This window comes from Homo sapiens, chromosome 2 (assembly GCF_000001405.40).
Source record: "Homo sapiens chromosome 2, GRCh38.p14 Primary Assembly".
Taxonomy (NCBI): Eukaryota; Metazoa; Chordata; class Mammalia; order Primates; family Hominidae; genus Homo; species Homo sapiens.
The window spans coordinates 130819667-130844771 of NC_000002.12; the positions used below are offsets into that span (position 1 = coordinate 130819667).

Sequence of the window (25105 nt, forward strand, 5' to 3'; positions counted from 1 at the left end):
AGGCTGTCTGGGCTGAGTGGAAATGCACGTATGAGGGGGAAGGTTTTCGTGGGTCCTTAAGATGTGGTTGGCTGCTTCCCTCCTCCTAGACTCAGTCCTTGCCAACAGGGCCCTGGCCCGGCTCTTCTGTCTGCCTGCCCTCTGGTGGTCCTCACAATGCTTTCCACAGGCTGTAAACAAGTACTCGTGGACAGCATGCAGAGGGAGATGGAGAGAAATAACTCACGAGAGTGTACGACTGGCCCAGAAACAATGGGCGTCCACTGCATGCAAAATACGTGGAAGCCCTCATGGTTGGGTGACTGGGTCTCTGCCCACAAGGCCATAGGAGAGCTAAGGGTTAAGCACCAGCCAGAGCAAGGAGGCTGCCTGTGGCTCCACCTCCTTCCGCCACCCGAGCCCGCCAGCCCCAGGCCCAGCTGGGATAGCAGCTTCTCCCTACTCTGGCAGACACAGACCAGAGCTGGAGGGAGGGTGTGGGGGCCCATGAGCACAGAGCCAGGAGATCTGGGCACCCCTGACACCTGGCCAGCCGTAAGAGGCCAGGCCCACCCACTGTCCCAGGCTGGGGTTGGTCTTCAGCCTCCCAGTGGGTCACAGCAGTGTGGCATGGGAGTGGGCCTCCAGCTAGGGTGTTCTGACCATCTCCGTGTGCTGCTCCTGACAGAGGGCGGGTTCATGCCTAGCACCTCCGGCTGCTGTGAGCTGATGCCTGTAAGAGGCGTTCAGGCCCCACCTGCAGTGCTCAGTTGGGTAAAATGCTGAGGAAACCGAATCACAGCTAGACTAGGGGAGTGAAATCATCGTGTCCCTTTCCTCTGTGCACTCACAGAAACACGCACCCCACGCAGAAAATACAATGTTCCTCCTAGAGCTGCAGAATGAACAGGCTGTGCTGGGTAAAAGAAAACACCCCAGTTGGATGCCAACTTTCCTTAGCAGGAGAAGGAATGTGGCCTGGGGCCACCGCTGGTGATGACAAATTTGCTTCCAGAGCCCTCAGACAAAGCCCTTCCAGCGTGGGGCCCAGCATGAGTCCTCAGAAGCTGGGGAGGCACCTCCTCTGCGGCACGGGGAAGGCGCTCCCCAAGGAGGCATAGCGGGGCCGGGGTGGCTTCTTAAGGCAGACCTGCACCTGGGGCCCATGATTATATTTAGGTATATGTATCTCCATCCCAGCCCTTGGAGAGAGCCGCCGGAGCGATTTGGGGGTCCATCTGAGCGTGCAGTGGGTAGCACAGCGGCCGGGAACTAGGGAAGAGACTGTCGTATCAGATGAAATTGAGCGACAGTGCGGTCAGCACGGGTAGGGCTTTTTCTCCCAGCTCAACTGAGGTGTAATTCATCAATAAAAGTGTGTCATTTAAGATGTATGATGTGATTATTTGATCCACACATACACTGGGAAATAATGACCACAATCAAGACAATGAACATGTCCACCGCCTCACAGGCACCTTTTTTTTTGTGTTGAGAACATGTAAGATCTGTCCTCTTAGTCCATTTCAAGTAAACAGTAAATTGTCATTAGCTGGAGTCACCATGCTATACCTTACATCCCCAGAACTTACTCATCCTATGACTGCAAGTTTGTAGCTCTGACAAACATCTCCCCATGTCCCCCACCCCAGCCCCTAGAAACCACCGTTCTACTCTCTGCTACTATGAGATTGATTTTTAAGATTCTGCATGGAACTTGTACTTTAAATTCATTGTCTGTTTTAGCCCTCACAACAGCCCTATAAGGTAGGTATTGCTATTATTCCTATTTCACAGGTGAGGCAGCTGAAGCTCAGAGAGGTTAAGCAATTTACTCCAGATCATACAGCAAATATATGTCAGAGCTGGACTTTGATTTATGATATGATATGATATGATATGATATGGTATCATATGAAGAGTCCAAGCTCTTAAGATCACCAAGTGAAGTGAAACGACAATTAACAAATGGAGAGAAATGAAATGCCTGACTCTTGAGGGCCTCACACTGGACCAGGTAAAACAGACTCTTGCTTGTAAAAGAACTGACTTTCAATTCAGTGGCAGTTTCCTTCCCCAGAATGGGTTATTAAAGGCCTGTGGCTCTCAGAGTTGAAACATGAGGCCTGATGCACAAGGTGAAGTCCAGGATAAATGTGAGCTTCCCAACACCCACTGGCCGAGAAGACAGCTGTTCTCCTGAACAACTGTTCTCTGCAACTGGAAATGCTGCCCTGAGAAGCCACAGTTTCTTAGGTGTGTGGCCATTGCCCTGAACCCAGGGCTTTTGCTACCTGGGGCTGAGCCCTGGGTTCTGGCAGCCATGGGTTAAATCAACAAGGGGGAGTGGTGGGGAAACTAGAGCATACAGAGGAAGGGTTCCGGGGAGTGTGCATGAGGAGGGCCAGGAGAGAGGCCAGCTGTTGCTAGGGCAGACACACCCGCACTGCCCCCAAACCCCAGTAGGGCAGCCCCCGGGTAGGCTGACCCGTGGACATGGGTTACCTGCTAACAGGTGACTGTTAGCCAAGCGGGGTTACCATCAAGCGCAAGGCTGGTGTCTTCGCCCTCCTTGAGCTGGGGCCTCAAGTCAGCAGGGAAGAATGTTAGCCAAGCGGGGTTACCATCAAGCGCAAGGCTGGTGTCTTCGCCCTCCTTGAGCTGGGGCCTCAAGTCAGCAGGGAAGAATGTTAGCCAAGCGGGGTTACCATCAAGCGCAAGGCTGGTGTCTTCGCCCTCCTTGAGCTGGGGCCTCAAGTCAGCAGGGAAGAATGTTAGCCAAGCGGGGTTACCATCAAGCGCAAGGCTGGTGTCTTCGCCCTCCTTGAGCTGGGGCCTCAAGTCAGCAGGGAAGAAGGGAGAGAGGGAGAGCAGTGGGAAGGAATTCCCCTGCTATTGTTGGAAAACTAAATGTCCTAGATCACTGTTGAGATTATTTGTTAACTAAGAGTTAACAGATGCCAAGAGAAGGTCTATAAGCGGGGGCCAGGCACCCTGGTCCCAGCACACTCAGTTGGCATCTGAGGTCCCAGTGTAATAACTTGCACCTTCCACAGTGTCCTGGGTTCAGGTGATGAGGCGTGTGCACCCCTGCCTGTGAGTGTGTGCGCACTCTAATGCAGCCCACCCATCTGAGCAGGGCCCCGCCCTTGGCAAGCCCTGGCTTCCAGTGGTGGCTCAGACTCCAACTGGAGGAAAGCCATCTACACCGAGGGGTCTCAGCCACAGCCATGGGTGCCCTCGGCCTGCATGCCCTGCTGGTCTGTCAGCGTCCAGGCCCCAGTGGGATGCCAGCTGACACTGTAGGACCCTGACCTACCTGGGCTGTGTTGCTCTGAGGAGCAGCCTCCGCTCCACCCCAGGGCAGCTTTCTTCTTCCTCCGGCACCTTCAGGCCTCAGCTCAGGGTGGGCCTGGCCCACCTGCCTATCCAAGGAGATGAAGATGTGTCCTCCCGGCTGGACGGTGTTCTTGGGTGTCTGCCCCGTGAGGCACTGCTGGACCTGTGGGGCAGGCACGCAGAGTTTGGGGGTGGGATTGAGGAAGGGATTTACTCTCAGGGGCAGGGAGAGGCTAGGAAGGGATGGCCAATCTGGCTCCTGTGGACAGTTGGTACCCTTGGAATCTGTCTGCTGGGGAGGGTGTGGAATCCCTGGAGGCTGCAGCTGCCAATGAGGATGAGAGTAGCAGGTGGCTGTGGGGCAGCCCTGAAAGCCACCAGCCAACACTTGGGCAGGATTTGCTGACAGACAGCCTGGGGCAGGCTTTGGGTGGACAGACCACTAGGGCTGCCCTCCCCTGGAAGACACTGGGGTCTGGCTGCGAGGGAGCAGAGAAAACCCCCTTGGTGGCCCCTCTGGCTCTGAGCTTCCTGTGCAGGGGCCAGAATTCCTCCTGCTGGGTCATGGAGTTGTCACCACATTTCCAGGTGACATCTGTGTGGGGAGCTAGGCCGGCCTCTCCTTAGCTCTGTCTTCCTTTGCCAGGTCTGTGCCGCCTGCCTCTCACTGTGATGCTCCCAGTGCCTGAGCTGGTGTCACTCCCCTTGGTCTCTAGCACCACATTATGAGCCTTTGGGGTCACCCTGGGCCCGGGGAAGTCCTGGCTCTGCCATTTCCTGGATTTGCGGACTTAATACACCTGGGACGGTACATCTGGGGAGGATGGCCAAGAGAGCAGCCAGCGCTGTCAGGCCCGGAGTCCCTGCTTCACGTTTGCTCACTCACAACGCCCATTCAATCCCCCCGTTCCCCAAGGGACCTTCTGAGACCATGTGGGAGGCCTGTGGTCCCAGATCCCAGGTGAGGGGGACTTACAGTCACAACCACAGGCTGGCCCTGGCCCTGCAGTCCCCGCCTGCCCAGCATGTTCCTGTAGTCGGGCGGGGACATGCCCTGGGCCTTTCCTCCAACCACTCAGTCCCAGCTGCACTCCCCCATGGCCACACACAGCCACACTGGGCCTCAGTGACCTGGCTGACCCCCAAGAGATCCCCATGACTGCCCCCTCTTGGATTCAGCAAACACCTCTCTTCATGCAGTTTGAATCCTGACACTTTGGAGGGGGTAATTTCTGAGCCTCTGTGGCCTCATCTGTGAAATGGGCCACTGAAGCAGGTGAAGTGCTACTCCGTCCCTGGCCTACAGTGGGAACCCACGCATCTGGGCCCCTGGAGAGCAGCCGTCACAGGGTCAGCCAGCGCCTAGCTGTCCCAGCTCAGTGCACTCTGCGGCCAGCACCCCACGCTGCCCAAAGGGCCTGCACACACACATAGAACAGGACATCCCAGGCAGCTACAGCCCATCCACCAGGACTGTTTCTTCAGTGAAAACCAAAGGTTCTTGTGAACTCACACACATCTGCTAAACTGCTTCCTATTTTGAAAATTGTGATGTTTCATGTGGAAGATAATTGATTCACAATGACGTAAACACACACTGTGGGGAAACCCCTGAATCTCTTTTGTTTCCTGCTGCCTGTGGGAGATGAGTCACCAAGAGGCAAAGGCTCTCAAGTGCCCCTCGTGGGATGGGTCTCATTCAGTCTTTTTGTTTTGCTTGAGCTCTGAGGTTTTGTATGTAAGCAGGAGTGATTCACACACACACACACACACACACACACACACACATGCATGCATGCACTGTGCCCTCTGTAAAGGCGTCTCACACAGGCACACAATCGCAGTGGCCAGGAGCCAGGCACCGCGGGTCTGCGAACTGATTTCTCCCTGCATATCCCATTGTTCAGAGCTTCCTTGGCCTGGGTCCCAAGCACAGGGACCCAGTGTCCATCCCACAGGCTGGCATAGGTCACAGGATGAAGCTTCTCCGGGTGCAATGTTCAGGGGTCACCTTGTGGTGGGTGGGCCATGCTGCAGGGCTGCCTGCCCATCCCCTGCCCAGGTTTTGCACCAAAGCACTGAGCTCTGGCTCAGCCTGCAGCCTATCCTACAAGGGAGATGGGGCTGGGACCCCCATCCCACAAAGGCTGGCCCAGCACAAGCCTTTCGCTGGGGTCTGAGAGAAATCCTGGAGGTTTCTGAGGGGTCCTCACCTCCTCCCCACAGGCAGGCTCCTCAGCCCCTTTTTCAGAAAGCGGGTATGTGTGGGCACCAGGCCTAGCATGCAGGACACTGCCCCGCTGCAGTGTCCCCCTCAAAAGACGCCCTCCCTCATGCTGTCTGCCCATCAAAGGAGCCCTCGCCCACCCCGAGTGGCCTCACCTTGAAACACAGACAGGTGGGGCCAGGGTCAGGCAGGGCCACCCCCCGAGAACCAATGCTCCCCTTCAGAGCCAGGCCTGCCCCTGAGATGGGACACAGAATTCACAGAATCCACAGCCTGGGCAGGCCCACAGTGCAGGGTGAGTCTGCAGCTCAGAGAACTGGGCTTCTGGCTCTGAATCACTCTTCCTTCGACTACACCTGGCCGTCTCCTGCCTCTCACCCAGGAGGGAGAAGGTCCTGCCGTGGGAACAAGGCTGCAGGCCTGCAAACCTGTTCCACCCCAATGGGGTGCTTCTCTCAGGCCCCAGAGCCCCCAGTCAGTCCCCTATTCAGAGCGTGCAGCCCCTGGCCTAGGCCTGGGGTAAAAGCCATTTGTTGCCTAGTGAGGGTGCAAGGCGGGCATCCCTGCCATGTTTTATGGTCCTTTCTTTCCTGCTGCCCGCTCCTGCCTCCACCCCTTTCTCCCCTGGGAACACACTCCCCCCATCTGCTGCACACAAAAGCCCATTCTGGCCTCTTGCTTTGAGACCAGCGTCACCCTGGAGACTGGCGCCTTCCGGCCCAGCCATCCTCTCCCCGCCCCAGCCTGGCCCTGGCTCCCAGGCTGGCCTGCTGCCCCCGTGTCCCCCTTTAGGGTCCTCTCCCGTGAGCCGGGAGTCTGAGGTGCTCTCGGTCTCTCCTCGGGGGCCCTGCCCCACGGGTCAGGCTCCACTTCTGTTGCTGCCGCACCCTGGAAGCCCCCAGGACCGCTCCACACTCGCCATCACCCTGGCTTTGTGTCACAACCTGCGTGGCGCAGGTGCAGGATGCACCAGCATGGATGACATGTCACTCTCCCTGGAGGAACCCGCTTGGCAGGGGTAGCTGATAACTTAGGGCCAGCGCAGACACAGAACTGTGCGAAATGACGCTGATGTCGCAGTGATGCGAGCCGCATGTTCCTCGCCTCACCTGCTCACTTTCTGAGCCTCACTGCAGCGACAGGAGGCAGGAAGCACCCCCAACCCCCGGTTTTAATAAATCCTCCTGCCATTATCACGCCCATCGGAGGGCTGCTGGGCGAGGCCAAGGATTCTGGATGGGAAGAAGATGGTGGAGCAGGTCCCTGGGAGAAGCCCAGGGCCAGTCATGAGCTGGGACGATCCCGCATGGTCAGCAGCAGGTCCCACTTCCTCGTACTGGTGCCACTTATCATTAAAGCAATAATGAGTGAATGCAGACACACAAAGGTGTGTGCAGGGAAGAGCCTCTCCCCAGAGGTGGCCACTGGCAGCAAGTTGGGTGTCAAAGCTGACTGTCTTCCGTGATCAGACGAGATCGGTCGTGTTCAGGGTGGTATGGTCGTAGACAAAGCTGACTGCCATTAACTCTTTCATCAACACTCACTCCGGCCAGGCCGTGAGGAGGGGCTGAATTGGGCCACTGCAGCTCCTGCCGCAGCCCCCACACACGTTCACCTGGTTGGGCTCACAGCAGCCCAGAAGGCAGGTACATGGCTGCCCTGTTTTACAGGTGAGTAAACAGAGGCACAGAAGGGTCAGTCACTTTCCTTGAGCCCCACAGCCAGCTCTGGCCAGGCCTCAGAGCCCACATCCCTTAGTGCCCCTGTGGCCAGCTCCTTTCTGCACCCAAGGGACCCCACACCTGAGGGACCCCACCCAGCCGGGGAGTCCTGCTGTCACTGACTCCTCCTCATGTGCAGACCTTGACTCAAAGGCTAGCTCCCAGGAACACATCCTCACCTGTCCACCCTTGGCTGTGGTCCTCTCTCCTTGCTAAAAGTCACCTTTGACCCAGACATCCCGCAGCAGCCCCTGCTCCAGGAGCTGGGGCAGAAAGCAGGGTATTCCCAGCCTGACTGATCAGTAGGAGGGGCAGGGAAGGCTGAGGGAAAGGGTCCTGCACACCAGACTACTGCAGACCCCATCTCCCACCCGCCGCAGGCAGCCCCCAAAGAGGCACATCTCCCTCAGCTGAGCCCCCAGGGTCCTTCCTGCAGCCCTGGCACGCCCACAACCCTTCCCTACCAGGCCTGTGCTTGTCCTTCGTGGCTCCTCCTCCACTGTCCTGACCCCCGATGACTTCTCTGGGTAGGGGATAAGGGTGGAGGCAAAGATGTGGGGGCTCCCTGAGATGCCCCCGCTCTGCTCCTCGCTGGGGGCTTCCCACAGCAAAGACAGAAAAGAAGGTCCCCATTGTTCCCAAATAAAGACTCTGCTGGTTCTTTCTTTTTCCTCCTTTCTTCTTTTGCATTCCTTTTTTTCTTTCCCTTTGAACAGTCTGCGGTGTTGGCCAGAGACTTCGGATGCTTTTCTTTTCCCTGCCCCGAGCATGGTTCGTGAGTCATGACCTCAGGGAGCTGCATAGAGGCTGGTTTGAGGTTTTTTCAGGCTTGGGGAGAGGTGGGAGAGGAATGTGTATTAATGCGCCGAGCTGGTTGTGCTGGTGCTGAGTCCTCTACTTCTCTGGGTTCAAGATGCCCAACTTCACCCTCCTTGCAGCCAGCCCTGCCCAAGGGAGCTAGAGCATGGCCTCCTCTGGACATGGCTTCCCAGCCCTTTGGGAAGTGCGGTCGTCCCTGCTGCAGGGCCCCAGTGACCGTGTCTGTGTGGGTGTGGCACGGTTGGTGCTCTCCTGCCCAAAACCCCTGAGCCTGCAATTCTACCCAGAGCCACATTCCCGGGGGGCAGGCACTGCTCCTGTGCTCTCAAATGTGACCTCCTGCCCAGAAGGAAGACACACCAAGTTCCTCAGCAGAAGCAAGTTTGACCGAAGGTGGGTGTGTGAAGGCCTCAGAGGCAGAGCTTCCAGCTGCCCATCACCAGGATGCCTTGGAGGCTCGGAGCTGGATTGGCTCAGGATGCACAGAGCCATCACTTCCTAGAAATCTGGAAATGCCAAGTGTGCAGGCCAGGCAGTTGGGGAAGGGGGTATGTCCTGCACGTGTGTGCACACTGTGTGCATCTGTGTCACTTCGAGCATCTGTGGGGGCAGGCCACCTCCTCTAGAAAGGCCTCTGGGCCCCTGCAGGGTGTTTGCCTCCCGTTTGACCGGGAGCCCTCTGAGGGAACAGCAGATGTGGCTCCTGTTTATTCAGGGGTTGGCTTGAATATTTGTCCGCCAAAGGGCCTGATTCAGAACATGTCTGATAATGGAGTGGGAGGCCTCCATTGTGCCAGGGGAGGTGCCCAGGCCCAGGGAGCTCAGCCTGTCATTTGGGTGTGTTTTCAGACAATGACGCCCACCTGGGGGTCAGGTGATGGATGATTCAGAGTCCAGAGTGCTAGCCATTGCACCATGGGACCCCTTCTGGTCAGGTGATGATTGAGGCAGCGGGGGCTGGGATCTGTGCAGGGCTGATGGGGCAGTGTGGGAGTTGGCTGCTGCTGCTGCAGGCCTCTGTGCCTCGGTGGGTCAGGTTGAGGGGCTTGTTCAGCTGTCTGCATCCAAAAGACACGTTCCTAGGCAGCACTTGTAAGACACTTTCAAAGAGCACTTGCAAGATGGATTCAAGTGTTTCTCTGATGCAGCTCCTTCCACCTCCTGGCACCAGCCTTCCCCGTGCCCATGGTGGCACCTGCTCCTCCTAAACCTGGTTTCTGAGGACTTGTGAGCTCTGAGGCCTCCTCTGTGGCAGGTGGGGCCTCATTTCAGATGGCCTTGCTTATTGCAGGAGCGAGAGTGCGGCTCCTGGTGCTCCCTGACGTCAGCGTCCACCTGCCCTGCAGCCTCGGGCCAGGGACAGACGCGGGGCCTGCACATCCATGACTCAGGCCTATCCCACACCCAGGAAGCCCAGCCCTTTGAGAGGCAGCTGAGTCAGTGCAGGGTGGGGTGCAGGGCTCTTGTGGACCAAAACAGAGGGTCCCTCCTCAGGGCAGGCAAAGCCCCATCTGGGGGCGGGGCCTAGAGCTGAGCCTGGAGGCTGAGCAGGGGCTTGCTTTGACACAGCGGAGCAGGGGTGGGAGGGGGCAAACAACATTCCAGGAGCAGAGAACAGTGAGGTCAGTGTGGCATCCCACAGCAGTGAGTACCGTCAGAGGGGCAAGAATCGGGGCCATGTGCATGGGGCATGTCAGTCCGGAGGGGACCCCAAGGCTCCTAAGGCCTAGCTCACATCAAATCCTCCTGTGTGCTCTGCCTGGACACAGGGCGAGGCTCACAGGCCTTCCACACAGCCACCGGGCCCCCAGCCCCACACACTTCCTGATCCCTATCCCCAATCTGCCCAGCAGACTGCAAGCTCCATGAGGGCAGAGTGCCTGCTCTCGTGCCCTCTGAGTCCCCTGGGACTGGACACAGCATAGGCACCCCAAACTTCACATGTCCAAAACCGAGTTCTTGTCCCCATGCCACCCAAGAGCACCTTCCCCAGGGTTCCTTCCATCTACCTGCACTACCACCCCTCTACTGAATCAGAAAAAAAACCAGGCCGGGCGCGGTGGCTCACGCCTGTAATCCCAGCACTTTAGGAGGCTGAGGCAGGCGGATCCTGAGGTCAGGAGCTCGAGACCAGCCTGGCCAACATGTTGAAACCCTGTCTCTACTAAAAATAAAAAATTAGCCGGGCATGGTGGCACACGCCTGTAGTCCCAGCTACTTGGGAGGCTAAGGCAGGAGAATCACTTGAACCTGGGAGGCGAAGTTGCAGTGAGCCGAGAATCGCGCCACTGCACTCCAGCCTGGGTGACAGAGTAAGACTCTGTCTCAAAAAAAAAAAAGAAAAGAAAAAACAAAAACAAAAACAGAGTCCTCCCTTTCCCCAACCCTACACCCAATCCACCAGCATTTCCTGTTAAAGGGACCTCTTCCAAAATGCACCTCAGTCCTGCGGCCACTCTACCACCGCCCTCTCTCCTGGGGCCTCCCGACAGGTCTCAAAAGTTCTGCTTCCTGGCTGGGTGTGGTGGCTCATGCCTGTAATCCCAGCATTTTGGGAGTCCAAGGCAGGCGGATCACAAGGTCAGGAGCTCGAGACCATCCTGGCTAACATGGTGAAACCCCGTCTCTGCTAAAAAAATACAAAAAAATTAGCCAGGCGTGGTGGCGGGTTCCTGTAGTCCCAGCTACTCAGGAGGCTGAGGCAGGAGAATGGCGTGAACCCGGGAGGCAGAGCTTGCAGTGAGCCGAGATCGTGCCACTGCACTCCAGCCTGGGCGACAGCGAGACTCATCTCAAAAAAAAAAAAATTTTCTGCTTCCTCCCCTGCCAGCTCAGCTTAGGGTCCTTCACATTCCTCCCCTGCTTCCAGGGCCCTCTTGCTGTGCCCCACCCTAGCTTCTACTCCATCTCCCCCATCTTCATCTGTGCTCCCTAAAGTGTAGCCATGTATGTGAGTTTTCTGCCTCTCTAAATGTGCTGTGGCCCCAGGGCCTTTGCACTTACCCCCTACAAGGACCCTCTTTCCCTGAACCTCCCCATGCCTCTCAGCCTCCAGGGTTCAGTGGGGACTTCCGTGGCCACTCAGGTCATTCTTCCCTCTCTCGACCCTGAATGTTTTACCTTAATAGCACTTAACTTATCTTGTAATTTTCTGTTTGTTGATTTATTTCCAAGAGTCCTCTGAGGGCAGGCAAAGCAGACTGTTCTCAATGACTGAAACATTTTTCAAATGAATGCTGTATTGAGTTGATTGGAAATAACTATACACTGTAGATGAATCAATGAAAGCAGCCCTTGAGGCCATGCAGCCTGGTGAGGCCCCCTCAACAGGTGCCCACAAGGAGTCCTGCCTGCCTGTCCCACCTTCCCTTCCTAAACGAGAGGGCTCACATCTGTTTTCTCGGCTGCACGCTGGCCACACTCATGCCCCTCACAGTCACCATGGGAGGGGAGAATCATTATCCCAAAAGTGCTGATAAACATACCTGGCCATCTCATTGAGGTCACGTATGAGTGGGCTTCACGACCATGACACTGAAAGCCAAGGGTGAAGACAACAGCTCTGAGAGCTGGCACTATCATCAGCCCCCTTCACAAATGAGAACACTGAGGCTAGGCGGGTCAGGTGACTTGCTCCAGCATTAGGCAGCAGAGCCAGGCTCCGGGGCTCTGGGACCTTCCACCTTCTCCCAGCCTGGAGCCTCCACAGTCCTTACAGAGGGCAACCTCAGTCCTGTCCACGTTCAGACGTGGGGAGCAGGGGCACAAGGAGGCAGGGGTCCTTGCCCTTGCCGCAGCACGGGCCCTGGGGGTGGTCCTGGTCATAGGAGGACCCTCCTGCCTCTTCCCCTGCCTCCCCTGTGTTCAGGTTGAGTGATGTAGGACAGGCTTCTCAGACCAGGCAGAAGTAGGTCAGCTAGTGTGCTGGGGGGGCCCCTTCCAGGTCACCCTGCCAGGAATACACTCCAGTCAGGGAATGAGGGCAGTGCATGGGCTCTGGGCTTGAATCCTGCCTCTGTCTTCACCCTGTCTGTGACTTGGGGAAGAAGCAGGGGGTACTTGAATCTCAGTGGCACCAATAGCTTCTGAGGCCAGCTCTGCCAATCCCTGGGCTGCCCTGCCCTTCTCTGGCTCTCACTCCTTGTGCCCCCAAGCCCCTTCCAGTCAATGTGTCCCCAGCAGCTCCAGGCCCCAGAGGTGTGATTGAGGGTGAGAGGTAACAGGTATACAGCAGAGCTCCCTAAAGGCATCCACACGGGATCCCCATTAGACGTTCCTCGCTCTGCTGCCTCCAGGGTGGAGCCTGGCCACGGTCCTGCGGGTGAGGGTGGGGCGGGGGGGTCAGTGAACATCCCCTCCCCACACCCCAGGTCTGCATAAGAGCCCTCCTCCCCCACCTCCTCCCTTCTCCTCCTCAAATCCTGGCTCCTTTCAATGCCCCTCTGTGCAGCATCTCAGAGACCTTGGGCCTCTGGCTCACCTCACACTGCTTGGCCATCCCAGGTCCTGACCGCACCCCACATTCTTGGCTCCCCTGTCCTTGACCCAACTGTGCCAGTCCTCCTAGAGGCCTGGCCCCTCCTGCTTCACCCCTGGGGCCAACACACAAGGTGCTTTACCCCTTTGAACCCCAATTTCCTCAGGTGGTGAGAGAAATACAGGTAACTCTGCTCACCTCCGGCTCCCTGTCTGTTCCGTGTGAGTTTCCGTGTGCTGCCAAAAAATGCCTGTGTGCTGCCAGTTGTTGTTTTTAATGGCTCTCCAGGTCTCCCACGGCCCTAGACAGCCTGGATGCTGGGCCACGCAGGAAGTAAGATGGAAAGATGGAAAGAGGGGCAGCAGATGGTAACAGCATGGTGCCCGCACCTCGTCTGGAGTGGGCTACTCTGATCCTCTGGTCCTTTTGGGGACAGCTGGCAGGCAGTGGGGCAAGGGGCACAAACAGTTCTCCTGGAACCGCAGAGCCATAGGCTCTGCTTGCAGCAAGTCCAACTCTCCTGGGGGCTCTGCTGAGACCTTCACGGGCCTGTGGCCCCTGCCTGGCTCCACCTCTTCGGCAGCTCTTCTGTCTATCCTGGCAGGGGAGCCTTCCTTATGTCAAGGCACAAGGTGCCCCTGCCCTGGCTCTGGCGGCTCTTAAAGGAAGCCCATGCCTCTCCCACACGCCATCATTTCAGGATCACCAGTCAGTCTGCAAGTGTGGTGGATGCATTTCCGATTGTCCCAAGTCCCCATGAAAATGTAACTCAAGGCCAGGCACGGTGGCTCACATGTATAATCCCAGCACTTTGGGAGGCCGAGGCGGGCAGATCACTTGAGGTCTGGAGTTCAAAACCAGCTTGGCCAACGTGGTGAAACTCCATCTCTGTTAAAAATACAAAAAAATTAGCTGGGCGTGGTGGTCGATGCCTGTAATCCCAGCTACTCGGGAGGCTGAGGCAGAAGAATTGCTTGAACCTGGGAAATGGAGGTGGCAGTGAGGTGAGATGGTGCCGCTGCACTCCAGCCTGGGCAACAGAGTGAGGCTCCAACAAAAGAAAGAAAGGAAGAAAGGAAGAAAAGAAAGAAACAAAAAGAAGGAAGGAAGGAAGGAAGGAAGGAAGGAAGGAAGGAAGGAAGGAAGGAAGGAAAGAAAGAAAGAAAAGAAAAGAAAAGAAAAGAAAAGAAAAGAAAAGAAAAGAAAAGAAAAGAAAAGAAAAGAAAAGAAAAGAAAAGAAAAGGAGGGAGGGAGGGAATGTAACTTGAAGAGTTGGGGACGAGGCAGTGAAGCCTCTCTCCTGGGCATTGCCTCCTCCTGGGCCCAGCCTAGAGGGAACACCAGTGTCCCTGCGCCTTTCTGTGGCTGACCGCCAGCCACTGCCCCTCGCTGACTGTCGGAGCTGGCTATCTGCAGGCCCTGCCCGCGTGTCAGGGGTCACTTGGTCTGAACTCGGCGCTACATATTCACCCCGGAGAATGCCATCATTAGGGTCAGCCCAGCTTTCTGACCTGAGGAGCTCTTTTAAGATTCTGTTTCCGCCGGGTGTGGTGGCTCATGCCTGTAATCCCAGCACTTTGGGAGGCCGAGGCAGGCGGATCACGAGGTCAGGAGATTGAGACCATCCTGGCTAACACGGTGAAACCCCGTCTCTACTAAAAATTCAAAAAAAAAAATCAGCTGGAGGTGGTGGCGGGCGCCTGTAGTCCCAGCTACTCTGGAGGCTGAGGCAGGAGAATGGCAGGAACCTGGGAGGTGGAGCTTGCAGTGAACCAAGATCATGCCACTGCACTCCAGCCTGGGTGACAGAGGGAGACTCCGTCTCAAAAAAAAAAAAAAAAAAGATTCTGTTTCCAACGTGTCCCTGATTTCTGTCCCCCACCTATGACAGCTGTACAAGCAGGCCGGCTTCCCACCAGGCTAGCTGAAGGCTCATGCCCTCCTCACAACGGCTCCCCTGACTCACCAGCAGTCAGACAGCAACACGTGGGTGGTCCTGGACTTTACATCTTTGGAGCTGGTCAAGGACCAGGGACGCAGGGATCGTCGGCAGAGATTACAGGAGGCCAGAGTCTAGGAGCAAAGCTGCAGGGAGAGGCACCAGCCCCAGCCTCCCTAGTGGGCAGTCTGTCTGGTGAGCTCTGGCTGCTGCCGCTGCCGTAGCCGGCTGGCTGCCTGTTTCCCAGGTCAGCACACCTCCCCCTGCCTATGCCTTACTCCATATTCTTGCAAAAATCCCTTTCCTGCTAGAGTAGCCAGGGGAAGTTTCTGTCTTTTGTGACTCAGGCCCCAGCTGGTAGTGTAGGTCTGTCTATATGTAAGCCTGTGGTCTCTGGGCCAGAGAAGTAAAGCAAGTGGCCCAGGCTGCCCAGCGAGGAAAGCACAAGCCCCTGTAAGTTCCATCGGTCCACCCCGTGCCCACGCTCTCTCTGCCACTTGGAATCTGCTGCGATGTTTTCTGTCCTACCACTCACTTCACTCCCCTATGCTGCTGAACCTGTTTAATTGCCATATGTGACAGACAGGAAGTCGGGGTCATATTTAAACATGGGACGCTCCACTGACTAGAAACTCTATTGTACAAATCCTTCAGCGACTCAAACAGGCCTGCCTTTCTTATTTTTAATAACGGCAAAAGAGAGAGCACACCACAGTGCAGTCAAGTCCTCCTAAAACCATGTTCACCAGAAGGAAAAGACAGACATAAACTACCTTTGATTTATTTCCCCTCGAGCATTGGATGTCACTTCTCTAGGGAGGCTGCGCTGTGGCAGGGATCTGGGCGTGCGGGGACACAGCAGGTGCCTGATGAATGGAGCCATCATGACGGTTATGCTCCAACCTGGGGTCTGATCCTCTGCTAGACGGCGAGCCTGGCCCAGGCCCCATAGCCTGAACCAGGGGTTCTCTAAGTGTGGTCCCAGGGCCAGCAGCTTCAGGGTCACTTGGAAACATGTTAAAATGCAAATTCCCAGGCCCCACCCCAGATCCTGTGAGAGGGGGGCAGCGGTGAGGGGCAGCAGCCTAAGCTCTATGGTGTCCTCCACGTGGTTCTGACTCAGGTCTGAGAACCCAGGTCCAGGGCTGTCCACTGGTCAGAGGAGTCCAGACAACAATGGAACCTGTGGCCAGGGGTTGTGTATTTTCACTGGACCTCCCCCCTCGCCAGGGGATTAGCACTTTAAGCCTTCAGAGAAGAGCGAATTAACTTTTGCTAAGCACCTGTGAGGTTTAATTTCTCACGTACTCTCCATGGCAACCCCACCAGGCGGTCATTCCTCTCGAATGTTAAAGATACGTGTTTAGAGCAGATGATCATGATTACACAACTGGTGTGCAGCACAGCCAGGTGCCCAGATCCGAATCCCACACCCTCCTCCCACCACCATGGGCCTCAGGGACATGCTTCTAGCACAGTCATGGACCCTGAGTGACATAAAGGCTGTGACAGGGGACGCAGGATCTTCAGATGGCCCCACAGTGCCTCCTCTGAGTATCTATCTCCCAAGCTTCTCGCCTGGCCTGGTTGCTGTGAGGGCCTGGGGAGAGGCAGAGACAGGTTGGGTGTACGGAAAATGCACACTCTGCCAGGCACCCCTGACACGCACTGCTGACCAGGCATAGCGTTCAGTGGGGCTAGGACTTGGACGAGGGTGCAGGCTTGAGCAGGGGTGCAAAAAGCCAGTCTGGGCAGATGCTCTCCCTCTGTGGGGCGCCGATCTCAGAAATGGTGGACAGAGCAGGGCTGCAGTATGGTGCACATGGGCCTTGGGGTCTTAGCTTTCGTGGGCCTCTTCCTGCATAAAATAAAATAGTTAAAATTAGAGTTTACAACTGCATTCATATAAAGATGAATATACTCCAGGCTAGATTCATTATTATTTTATTATACTCAGTTTTTTTCTTCTGATTTAAAATAGTGCGGTCCTAGGGCTGGTTAGAGTGTTTCCTGGCAGGCCCTGTCTCCTTAAACCCCTGCAAAGAAAGCAGCGAGGACTTCCCTTTGCCCCTTAGCAGAAAGCTGCGCTCCTTAATGGTTACGGGTGTGACCATTCACTTACATCCTATCTGCAGGACATACCTGGAAAGGTAAGTGGGAGGCAAGAGGGAGCTGGAGGCCAAGACTTCGGTCCCAGATATCCTAGTCCACATTTGTCCCCACCAGGTGTGTGAGTGCCGGCGCGCTGCACAGCCTCCCTGGGCCTCCGTTTCCTCAACTGGTAAACAAGAACGCTGGGCGGACTGAACTCTGAAAGTTCTGGGAGCTTGACAATCAGAACTCTCAGCAGAGAGGCCGCCCCTGCTCTCAGGAGGGCGGAGGCACCTGAGTCTCCAGTGCGGAGGACAGGCCGAAGCGCTGCGTTGGAGATGTGCAAATGCGCAAGAAGCGTGCTGCTTTCTCTCTGAGAAAACACTCCTAGGCTTCAAGGGGGCCCAAGAGCTCGACTGGGCGGGATGATCCCGGCGGCCCCTGGGCCGGGTCTGTGGACGGCTCTGCTGTGTGCCTGTGCGTGCCCAGTCCCGCGGGTGACCAAAGCCCAGGGGCGGGCAGGGCAGGAGCCTGGACCTCACGTGCCTCCAGTGGCCAGGTTTGCGGGGGCGGAGCGTCCGGGCGAGGGCGCGGGGGCGGACCCTAGGGCGGGGCGCGGGGTGGCGTCGGTGGAGCCGGCTCGGCGGCGCGGCTCGTAGTGCTGCGGCCGGGCTCCGGGCGTCCCGGCGGCCACCATGCTCAGCGTCGTGCACTTCCTCCGGAGCTTCTTCAAGGTGAGAGCCGGCGTCCGGGACTTGCGGTCGGGCTCCCGGCGCCCTGCGCGGGTGGGGAGGAGCACAGCCCGCGCTGGCTGCTGCGCCCCGGGCCGTCCCCTGGGCACCCGGTGGGTGGGGACACCCTCGTGGCTCCCCGCCGCTCCCAACTTTCCGACGTGCAGACCGGAGGCGGCGTCCTGCAAAGTGGGGCCGTCTCGAGCGCGGGGAAGGACGGGGCTCCGTTGGGGGCGGTAGGGACGGCGGCCCGGGGCGAGCCCCTGAGAGGGCAAGGGCGAGCGCCTGAGCCGGCCTCCCCGCACCTGGACCGTCCTGGGCGCGCGGGGCACTCGGAGCCGCTGCCTGGACCGGCCTGGGCGCGCAGGGCACTCGGAGCCTCTGCCGCTTGGCGCAGTACCAGCTGTTTTGGGAAGGAGGGCTGGTGCCGGCCCGGTGGGTACGGGAGAAGTGGTTGCTGTTGTTATTCCCCAGGCTGAGAGTACGCGAGGGCGCAGCAGCGGCAAGGGGCTGGAACTGGGGTCGGGGCTGTTGGGCTCCTGCTCGGGGTGCCCCCTCTCTGGCCCGATTTCCGGGCCCGCTCACCATCCGGGACCCACTCAGTTGGGACGCCTCCACCTCGCTGCCCCCACAGGAACCCCAAGATGGGCCGGGGGCTCCGGGGCACTGTCAGGGGTGGCCGGCCACAGGTTGCCAAGCCCGACCTCCCCAGGTGAGCCAGCGGGAGGGCGGTTGCGACGCTGGGTGGTGCTGAGCTCCGATGGGCTCCTACTCCGGGAGCAACTGCATGAAAGGAGAGGCGGGGAAGAGCCACCAGCTGTCAGCTGCAGGTCCAGGGGGAGGCAGACCTGTGTGGGGCTGTCGGGGCGGGAGGGCGGGAGGGCGCCCTACTTGGCTGTGCAGCCATCTTCTCCCGGAGTTGAAGACGGGAGGTTGAGGTCGGAGTTCTGTGGCCCTGAGAGCTCTAGTGAAAGGGGCAGGAAGCCAGGTGACCCAGGGCAGACCTGCAGGAGCCCTGCCCTCAGCCTATCCGCTGGCCTGGCATCAGCTCCCACCCCCAGCGATAACGAAGTGATCGCTGGCATCAAGAGTGGAGAGGGCCGGACAGCCGGGAAGGCAGCCTTTCAGGAACCTGTGCTGGTGAGTGTAGGAGATGGCTTGGAAGAGCTCAGACCCCCTTCAAATGCCGACTCTGTCATTGAGGAGGTGTACAATCTTGGGACAATCACATAACCACCTGGGTCTTTGTTTTGAAAAATGTGGGTGATGTTTCCATGCCCTCCACACCTTTCAGGGTTAGTGTGAAGGTCTTATTAGAAAATGTGAGTGTGGCCCGGCGCGGTGGCTCATGCCTGTAATCTCAGCACTTTGGGAGGCCGAGTGGGGGGGGCGGATCGCCTGAGGTCACGAGTTCGAGACCAGCCTGGCCAACATGTCAAAACCCCGTCTCTACTAAAAATACAAAAATCAGCCGGGCGCGGTAGTGGGCGCCTGTAATCCCAGCTACTTGGGAGTCTGAGGCAGGAGAATTGCTTGAACCCGGGAGACAGAGGTTGCAGTGAGCCAAGATAGCACCACTGCACTCCAGCATGGGTGATAGAGCGAGACTCCGTCTCAAAAAAAAGAAAAAGAAAAGAAGGAAGGAAGGAAGGAAAGGAAGGAAGGAAGGAGGGAGGGAAGGAAGGAAAGAAACGTGAGTGTGTTTATGAAGTGGTGAGCCCTGGACCTTGGTTCTGCTGCACCCACAGCAAGGGTGGCAAGGAGTTGCCCAGGTGAGGGGAAGATGGCCGGACAGAATCCAAGATGCCTGGGCAGAATCTGAGTCACCCAGCTGGCCCCAGAAGCTCCAGGAGCAGGTGGAGTGTGGCTGGAGGAGAGACCACTGGACATCTCTGGGCAGCCACCTTGCCTGCTGCTGCCTGGGAGGCTCCTGGGATTTGGCCTTTGTGAAAGTATTCCTGACACACACGGTCCTCCAGTTCCCCATCTATTCAGAGAGGCCTTTCCATACTTTCTGCCTCAGGTCCCTGTAGGTCCTGAGACACCTGAGGCCTCCCCATGCACACCACAGGAAGCATCACCTGTGCCCCTCAGAGGGTCTCCTTTCTGCTGTCCACATGGGAGGGGCTCTGACTGCCACAGCAGTCCACTTCTGGCTGTGTGAGTGTGTCTTGCCGAGCCACCGACAACGTAGTTCATACTTGTTCCTCTCAGACACTGGTCGTAAGGAATACCCCGTGAGGACACAGGTTGTGGGGTGGGCAGAGGAGCTACGTGCTTCAGTCACCGCCTGGTGCCTCCTGGTGTCCCCAGGGATTGGTCCTATGAGGTACCCCTGATGATGGGTGCTGGACTGGGCCAGAAAAGGCCACTTCATTCTGGGAACCTCAGATTGTCTGGGTCTCCCAGTCAGACTCTGTTAGCCAAGATGCAGCTAGTCTCCACCAAGCCCAGGAGGAGGACCCCAAGGCCCCAGGTGTGCCTTCTGGTGGCACTTGGTACAGACTCTGTACAGCACACAGATCTGCTTGGGCACGTTGGGCACCGTGGGATCCATGGGGCATGACAGTCGTGTGGCAGAGTCCCTCCCCGTGCAGGCAGACCAGTCGGAGAGCCTGCACCTGCCAGGGGCCCACACAGGTGCGCCGCCTTGGGGGTCACCCAGCAAATGAGTCAGAGGAGCAGCACACCCAAAAGGAAAATATGTTGTCTCAAAAATCCAGAGGCCCTCCCAGCATCGTGTGTGGGCCAAGCATGACTTTTGATTTCGAGGGTGTATTTCAAAATGTTCCAGACAGCTGGACCCCCTGCTGCCTGCCTGGAGCCGTCACTGAAGTGGCAGGTCCCTGTATTTTCATGGAATGTATGTCCTACTCTCTGGTACATGTATGTCCTAACACTTAGGGTACTTTGCTACTTGGTTTCCTCCAAGACCTATTAGTGTGCAGAAGACCCACATGAGGTCATCAGGAGAGAAAGGTCAAGGTCTTTGTTGGCTAAACCATGGCACAGAATCAGTAAGCCAAGACAAGTCGTGAAGGTGGGATGCTGTGCCCCATGACAGGGAAGCCAACCTACTTCCGTGAATTCCTGAGTACTGCAGCAGGAAGCACACACATAGGCACACACACACAGGCATACATAGGTATACATATGGGCACACACACACACAGGCATACACACTTGGGACACACAGGCACACACACAGACACACAGGTGTACACACAGGTGCACACACACACATAGACCGAGTTTTCATCCAATCAGTGGCTCTATACTATGCCAAGGATTGTGACAGCTTCAGTCCGGTAGGGAGGTCATAAGTGGGACAGCACAGCTGATGAGAGAATCCACTTGATTGAACCCAGATCTGTCCACCGCATTTTCAGGTCCCCATGTCTCCTGCACAAGCCTACCTGGCAGGTTAAGGGGGGATGCAGCAGCGTCTTCTGCCTTGGGTGCTGGTGGTTTCTCAGTCTCCAGGGATGAGGTGTTGCTAATGAGCCACTATTTTGGAGGGGAGGGAGTTGTAGATCCATCCAGGTAGTCTTTCCCACCACAGAAGCCTCCACACCATGGCTCAGGAAGCCAGGATGAAGTTCCTGCCACGTACTGGCATGTGTTTGTCACCTGAGCACTCAGGAACTAGGGAAATTGCCATAGGACAGGTTTGGGATCCCAGTGGGCTGCCACGAGGTGGATGCAGGGCACAGCTCTCGTCATGGCCTGCATGCGCCACTGCCTCTGGCAAGCGTCACTCCTGGTGGCAGGCTGTGGAGACATCCTGGGCTACCAGGAACAGTGTCAGCTCAGAACCAGCCCTCAATGGTGCCGGGAGGTCCAGGTACTTCTCTGTCCAGGAGGCTCTGGAAGATTCACGGCATATACCTGTGCTGTTACGCAGGTGACCAGCCTCCCTACAACTCAAGGAGTTTTGGGTCTATTGAGAGATCTGGGAATTGGGCAAGAGGCAATGTAGTTTATTCAGCAAATATTGGTTGAACACCTACTATGCGCCAGATGTTGTTCTAGGCACTCATGGTAGACTCCTGCCTACCAGACCTAGTTTTAAAAAGTGGTTGTTTGTTTGTTTGAGACAGAGTCTCGCTTTGTCACCCAGGCTGGAATGCAGTGGCGCGATTTCAGCTCACTGCAACCTCCGTCTTCTGAGTTCAAGCAGTTCTCCTACCTCAGCCTCCCAACTAGGTGGGATTACAGGCACGCACCACCATGCCTGACTAATTTTTTGTATTTTTAGTAGAGATGGGATTTCGCTATGCTGGCCAGGCTGGTCTCGAACTCCTGACCTCGTGATTCGTCCGCCTTAGTCTCCCAAAGTGCTGGGATTACAAGCATGAGCCACCGCGCCAGGCCTAGAAAGCTTTTTTTTTTTTTTTTTTACATTTCTATTAATACTACACACATCAGATAGGACCCTATTGGCATTACCTGTTGATTTCAGTCCTAGCAGTGCCATGGGTGAGTCGTCAGTGCCAAGGAGTCTCAGCATGAGAACATCTTGGTGCCCCTCTGGCTGCCGGCACCTGAATGCTTCCTCCCATCCTCTGTCGTGCCAGCCTCACCGTTCTCATCTGTAGAATTTCCACCAACGGGAAGGTCTTCCGTCATCATCTCCAGCTGATAGAGAACGATGTCTGTGGCAATATTCCAAGCTGTTGGTGTTCTCCTTCCTAAATGTTTCTTGGTGCTTCCGGCTGGGGCAGGTCCTTTTGGCTCCCCTGGAGACATGGTTAGGGATGTTGTACAGGTTGCTCTTGATCGGTCTCCACCAACACTGTATCCCTTCAGATGTCTGGATTCCTTCAAGGGATTTTGGCTTTTCAGTTTCACTTTGTGGAGCCACTATCAAGCTGAGGTCAGGGAACCAACAGCTCACCTGCCGGCTCTTGGACTCCAGCATGGGGGGCGCACCTGCAGCAGTACATTGCCCTGGCCTGGGTTGATGCTCTTCCCCCAGGGTCGGGGACACTCCAAATCCGTTCTCACCATTCTCCCTGGTTTTTGCTGGTGTATGTTGGCACAGTCCTTGTTCTCTGAAGTATGTGTCTTTTCCTTGATGGTTTCACTTGTAATTGGTTCCCTTGGCTATGCTGGGATCTGACTCTGCTCTTTGGCCTGGAGGCAGGGAAAGGGGCCAGGGTGGGCATGAGCAGAACAGGGTGACTTGCTGGGGAGGGCATAACAGCCTGAAGCAGCCAGAGAGAGGAGCAAGGGTTCAGTGGGGTTGTGAGCCCCCAGTGCATCCCCACTCCTAAGGTGAGGGTTCCACTCTTTCCCAAACCATACCCTGACTGTCACTCAAGGAGCAAGGAAACAACACATCCTTCTGGCTGTATAATGCGCCAGTCTGCAGATTGGTGGAGTCAGACTGCTTTTGGTTCTGGGATATCTCAGGCCTGTGGCTGCAGAAGAGAAGAGATACTCGTACTTTATGTAGAGTGGTAGAGAGGCCCTGTGAGGACAGAGTGTGTTATTACCTCACTTTAAGCTGTACAGGGCAGTTAGAAGTAGCAAGCGCACCCGGCAGTCCTTGGATTCTTCATGCCTTTCATTTGGATTTTGTAGCAAGAGCTGTTTCTCCCACAAAGCACCCAGTAGTCACTTGGCCACCATTGATAATTTATTTAGGGGCTGGCCATGCAGGCAGTGAGATACTGGAGTTCCACATCTTCCACGTGGTAATGTATTTCCACGGCTTTTGGCTTCAACTAGGTGAAATCCGCAGTCCCAGCTCTCCTCCCCACCTTCCTGCAGATCTCTTACCCGCAGGGATCCTGGTACCAGTTTCTTTACTAGTGAAGGATCTTGATTGCCAAAGACAGTAAAGGGCTCCAGTTAAGTGAAAAAAGAGTGACGTCTTGGCAGGTTGGGGGTAGCTCATTGGCCCAGCTTGTGCAGGGATGAAGGGGGCGACGTGCAGCTGGGCCTGTGGGGCTGCCCCGGGTGTGGGCTCCACTGCTCTGCTGACAACACCCTCTAGTGTCTCTTGTAGGCGGTGAGGTCTGTCCTCAAGAGCCAGGGTCCTGGCTGGGTCTTAGCTGAGCTGCCAGAGGGTGGGACGAGAGGATATCTGCCTCCTTTCTATTTTCAAGATAGATGGGGCCAGATTTTCGGTTATATTGGGATCTCCTCCTCTCCCCAGTCCCAGCAGCTGTTCAGCACGGGGCAGCCAATACCCACTCATGGTGTATGACTGAGAAATTTTCCAGGACTCACTTGGCCCCTCCACATTTGTGGCGGAAGGAGGGTCTAAACTCCAGGTTCCTGGGGCCTCTGCCAGGGAGCCACCTACATCCTTGAACTCTTCTGGGTGAAGGTCGCAGCAGGAACCCAAGGCTGGAGACCCTGAGCTGAGGCGGGCTGCCCTCTTGAACCCTACAGAGGCTGGTCTCCTGCATGGTGGAGTGGGTGGGGCAGACCCGGCAGGGGAGCCAGCTGTCTGCCAGCAGGCCTTCCGTGCCTCCCCTGGGCTGTGCCTCCTGCTAACCTGGACTTGCCAGCCTTGGCTGCGTTGCTGCTCAGAGGCACCAGTGCTTCCTCGTGCTATAGGCCTCCTCTCCCCCACTGCTCTTCCAAGGGGGGGCACGGTTCCCACCTGTGCTTTTCCTCCAGACCCTGCCTCTGCCCCGTTGGGCTCTCCCCTGACCTCACCAGATGGTCTTTCTGTACAACACAAGTTCTCAAGCACCCCCTGCTTGTTGGGACATAATTGGCATCTCCAAAGGTTGTTCTCTCCCTCTGGGCTGTCGGCTCTGAGGGCAGGGCCAGGGTTTGGAGCACAGCGTATCCTCGGGAAATGCGCTGAGTCTGTGTGTGGCCAGGTCAGAGCCCCAGGGGGGCCCTGAATCCAGAGGGCCCCAGATTGATGTTTCTAGAGACATGAACTCCTGAAACCTTCTCTCCAAACTTGGGTGGAGCACAGCCCTGCTCTCCAGGTATGGGCTGGGCACAGCCTGCCCCACCTCTGTGTCCCTGTCCTCCCACTGGCTTCAGTCAGGTGTCCTCAGCCCTTCCTGAGACTCCAGCCACTGTTTATAACCTGGGAAGGTACCAGACCCTGCAGAGGGTTTGAATTCACTCTGGGTCTCCTGTAGGAGTCGCTGACCCCATACGTTTTGTTTGCTTCTCCCGCTGAGCGCAACTAGCTCCCTGGCTCAGGAGAAGTGCTGTGTCTTTCTGGATCCCATATGTGATTTCCTCATCTCTGCAATGGGCTGCCCCTCACCTTCTGCCAGTTATAAGGTGGTGAGGTTTAAACGATATTGCCCATTGGCCCATCCCTGGCTCCGGGACCCTCCACAGACGGGGATGGTGCTGCCTGTGAGGCCCTCCGGCCCTCACGTTGCCCTGTTGTAAAGGAGGCGGGGCGCCCTGCCTGGTGGGCACAGCCCTGTTGGCCAGATGCAAACCCCGGCAGTAAACCCCTAGAGACCCTGTCCCACCCTGGCTAGCTTGAAATGCCTTGGGTATCAGCCACGTTTGTACCACAGGGGTCGATTTGTCTCTCTTCCACAGCTTTTTTGCCTGTGAACTAAAGATTGCCCATGCTCGAGAAGAGGTCTCCTTGGAGCACTCCTTGGAAGCTGCCCCTCTTCCCAGGGTCCCTTTGTGATGGTGATGGCCCCTAGGTGGGTCCACTCTCCCATAGAGCTCTGTGCCCTGGGGCACCTTCATGTAACCCCTTCACTCTCAGGGGCATGTGAAAATTTAAATAAGAAAACCAAGGGAAAGCATGTGGAGAGAGCACCCAACAACTATTAG

General features: G+C 56.7%; 1 protein-coding gene and 1 long non-coding RNA gene across 5 annotated transcripts in view, besides 8 other annotated features; one reads left to right on the forward strand and one right to left on the reverse strand.

The window, feature by feature from the left end:
• Positions 390-993: an enhancer, noted in NCBI's record as "H3K27ac-H3K4me1 hESC enhancer chr2:131577629-131578232 (GRCh37/hg19 assembly coordinates)". NCBI's record gives its function as "activates a minimal SCP1, AML or CMV promoter by ChIP-STARR-seq in naive H9 embryonic stem cells {active_cell/tissue: H9 hESC(naive)}" and the evidence as "EXISTENCE:reporter gene assay evidence [ECO:0000049][PMID:30033119]".
• Positions 3716-4291: an enhancer, noted in NCBI's record as "H3K27ac-H3K4me1 hESC enhancer chr2:131580955-131581530 (GRCh37/hg19 assembly coordinates)". NCBI's record gives its function as "activates a minimal SCP1, AML or CMV promoter by ChIP-STARR-seq in naive H9 embryonic stem cells {active_cell/tissue: H9 hESC(naive)}" and the evidence as "EXISTENCE:reporter gene assay evidence [ECO:0000049][PMID:30033119]".
• Positions 4292-4869: an enhancer, noted in NCBI's record as "H3K27ac-H3K4me1 hESC enhancer chr2:131581531-131582108 (GRCh37/hg19 assembly coordinates)". NCBI's record gives its function as "activates a minimal SCP1, AML or CMV promoter by ChIP-STARR-seq in naive H9 embryonic stem cells {active_cell/tissue: H9 hESC(naive)}" and the evidence as "EXISTENCE:reporter gene assay evidence [ECO:0000049][PMID:30033119]".
• Positions 4632-4681: an enhancer, noted in NCBI's record as "active region_16529". NCBI's record gives its function as "activates an Ori minimal core promoter by ATAC-STARR-seq in GM12878 lymphoblastoid cells {active_cell/tissue: GM12878}" and the evidence as "EXISTENCE:reporter gene assay evidence [ECO:0000049][PMID:35858748]".
• Positions 4842-5001: an enhancer, noted in NCBI's record as "active region_16530". NCBI's record gives its function as "activates an Ori minimal core promoter by ATAC-STARR-seq in GM12878 lymphoblastoid cells {active_cell/tissue: GM12878}" and the evidence as "EXISTENCE:reporter gene assay evidence [ECO:0000049][PMID:35858748]".
• Positions 6024-6599: an enhancer, noted in NCBI's record as "H3K4me1 hESC enhancer chr2:131583263-131583838 (GRCh37/hg19 assembly coordinates)". NCBI's record gives its function as "activates a minimal SCP1, AML or CMV promoter by ChIP-STARR-seq in primed H9 embryonic stem cells {active_cell/tissue: H9 hESC(primed)}" and the evidence as "EXISTENCE:reporter gene assay evidence [ECO:0000049][PMID:30033119]".
• Positions 6600-7177: an enhancer, noted in NCBI's record as "H3K4me1 hESC enhancer chr2:131583839-131584416 (GRCh37/hg19 assembly coordinates)". NCBI's record gives its function as "activates a minimal SCP1, AML or CMV promoter by ChIP-STARR-seq in primed H9 embryonic stem cells {active_cell/tissue: H9 hESC(primed)}" and the evidence as "EXISTENCE:reporter gene assay evidence [ECO:0000049][PMID:30033119]".
• Positions 7178-7755: an enhancer, noted in NCBI's record as "H3K27ac-H3K4me1 hESC enhancer chr2:131584417-131584994 (GRCh37/hg19 assembly coordinates)". NCBI's record gives its function as "activates a minimal SCP1, AML or CMV promoter by ChIP-STARR-seq in naive H9 embryonic stem cells {active_cell/tissue: H9 hESC(naive)}" and the evidence as "EXISTENCE:reporter gene assay evidence [ECO:0000049][PMID:30033119]".
• On the reverse strand, positions 11307-17328 carry ARHGEF4-AS1 (ARHGEF4 antisense RNA 1). Its single transcript, NR_186036.1, has 2 exons — positions 16644-17328; positions 11307-13450 (listed from the first exon to the last, which is right to left on the reverse strand). It is a non-coding gene; the product is annotated as an ARHGEF4 antisense RNA 1 (long non-coding RNA).
• ARHGEF4 (Rho guanine nucleotide exchange factor 4) overlaps positions 17248-25105 on the forward strand; it is a 210340-nt gene continuing 202482 nt past the window's right edge. For all 4 annotated transcript variants that reach the window (NM_001367493.1, NM_015320.4, NM_001375901.1 and 1 more), the window contains exon 1: positions 17248-17326. In NM_001367493.1, the coding sequence (NP_001354422.1) occupies positions 17288-17326 (39 nt within the window). In that variant the 5' untranslated portion in view covers positions 17248-17287. The remainder of the gene's footprint in view (positions 17327-25105) is intronic.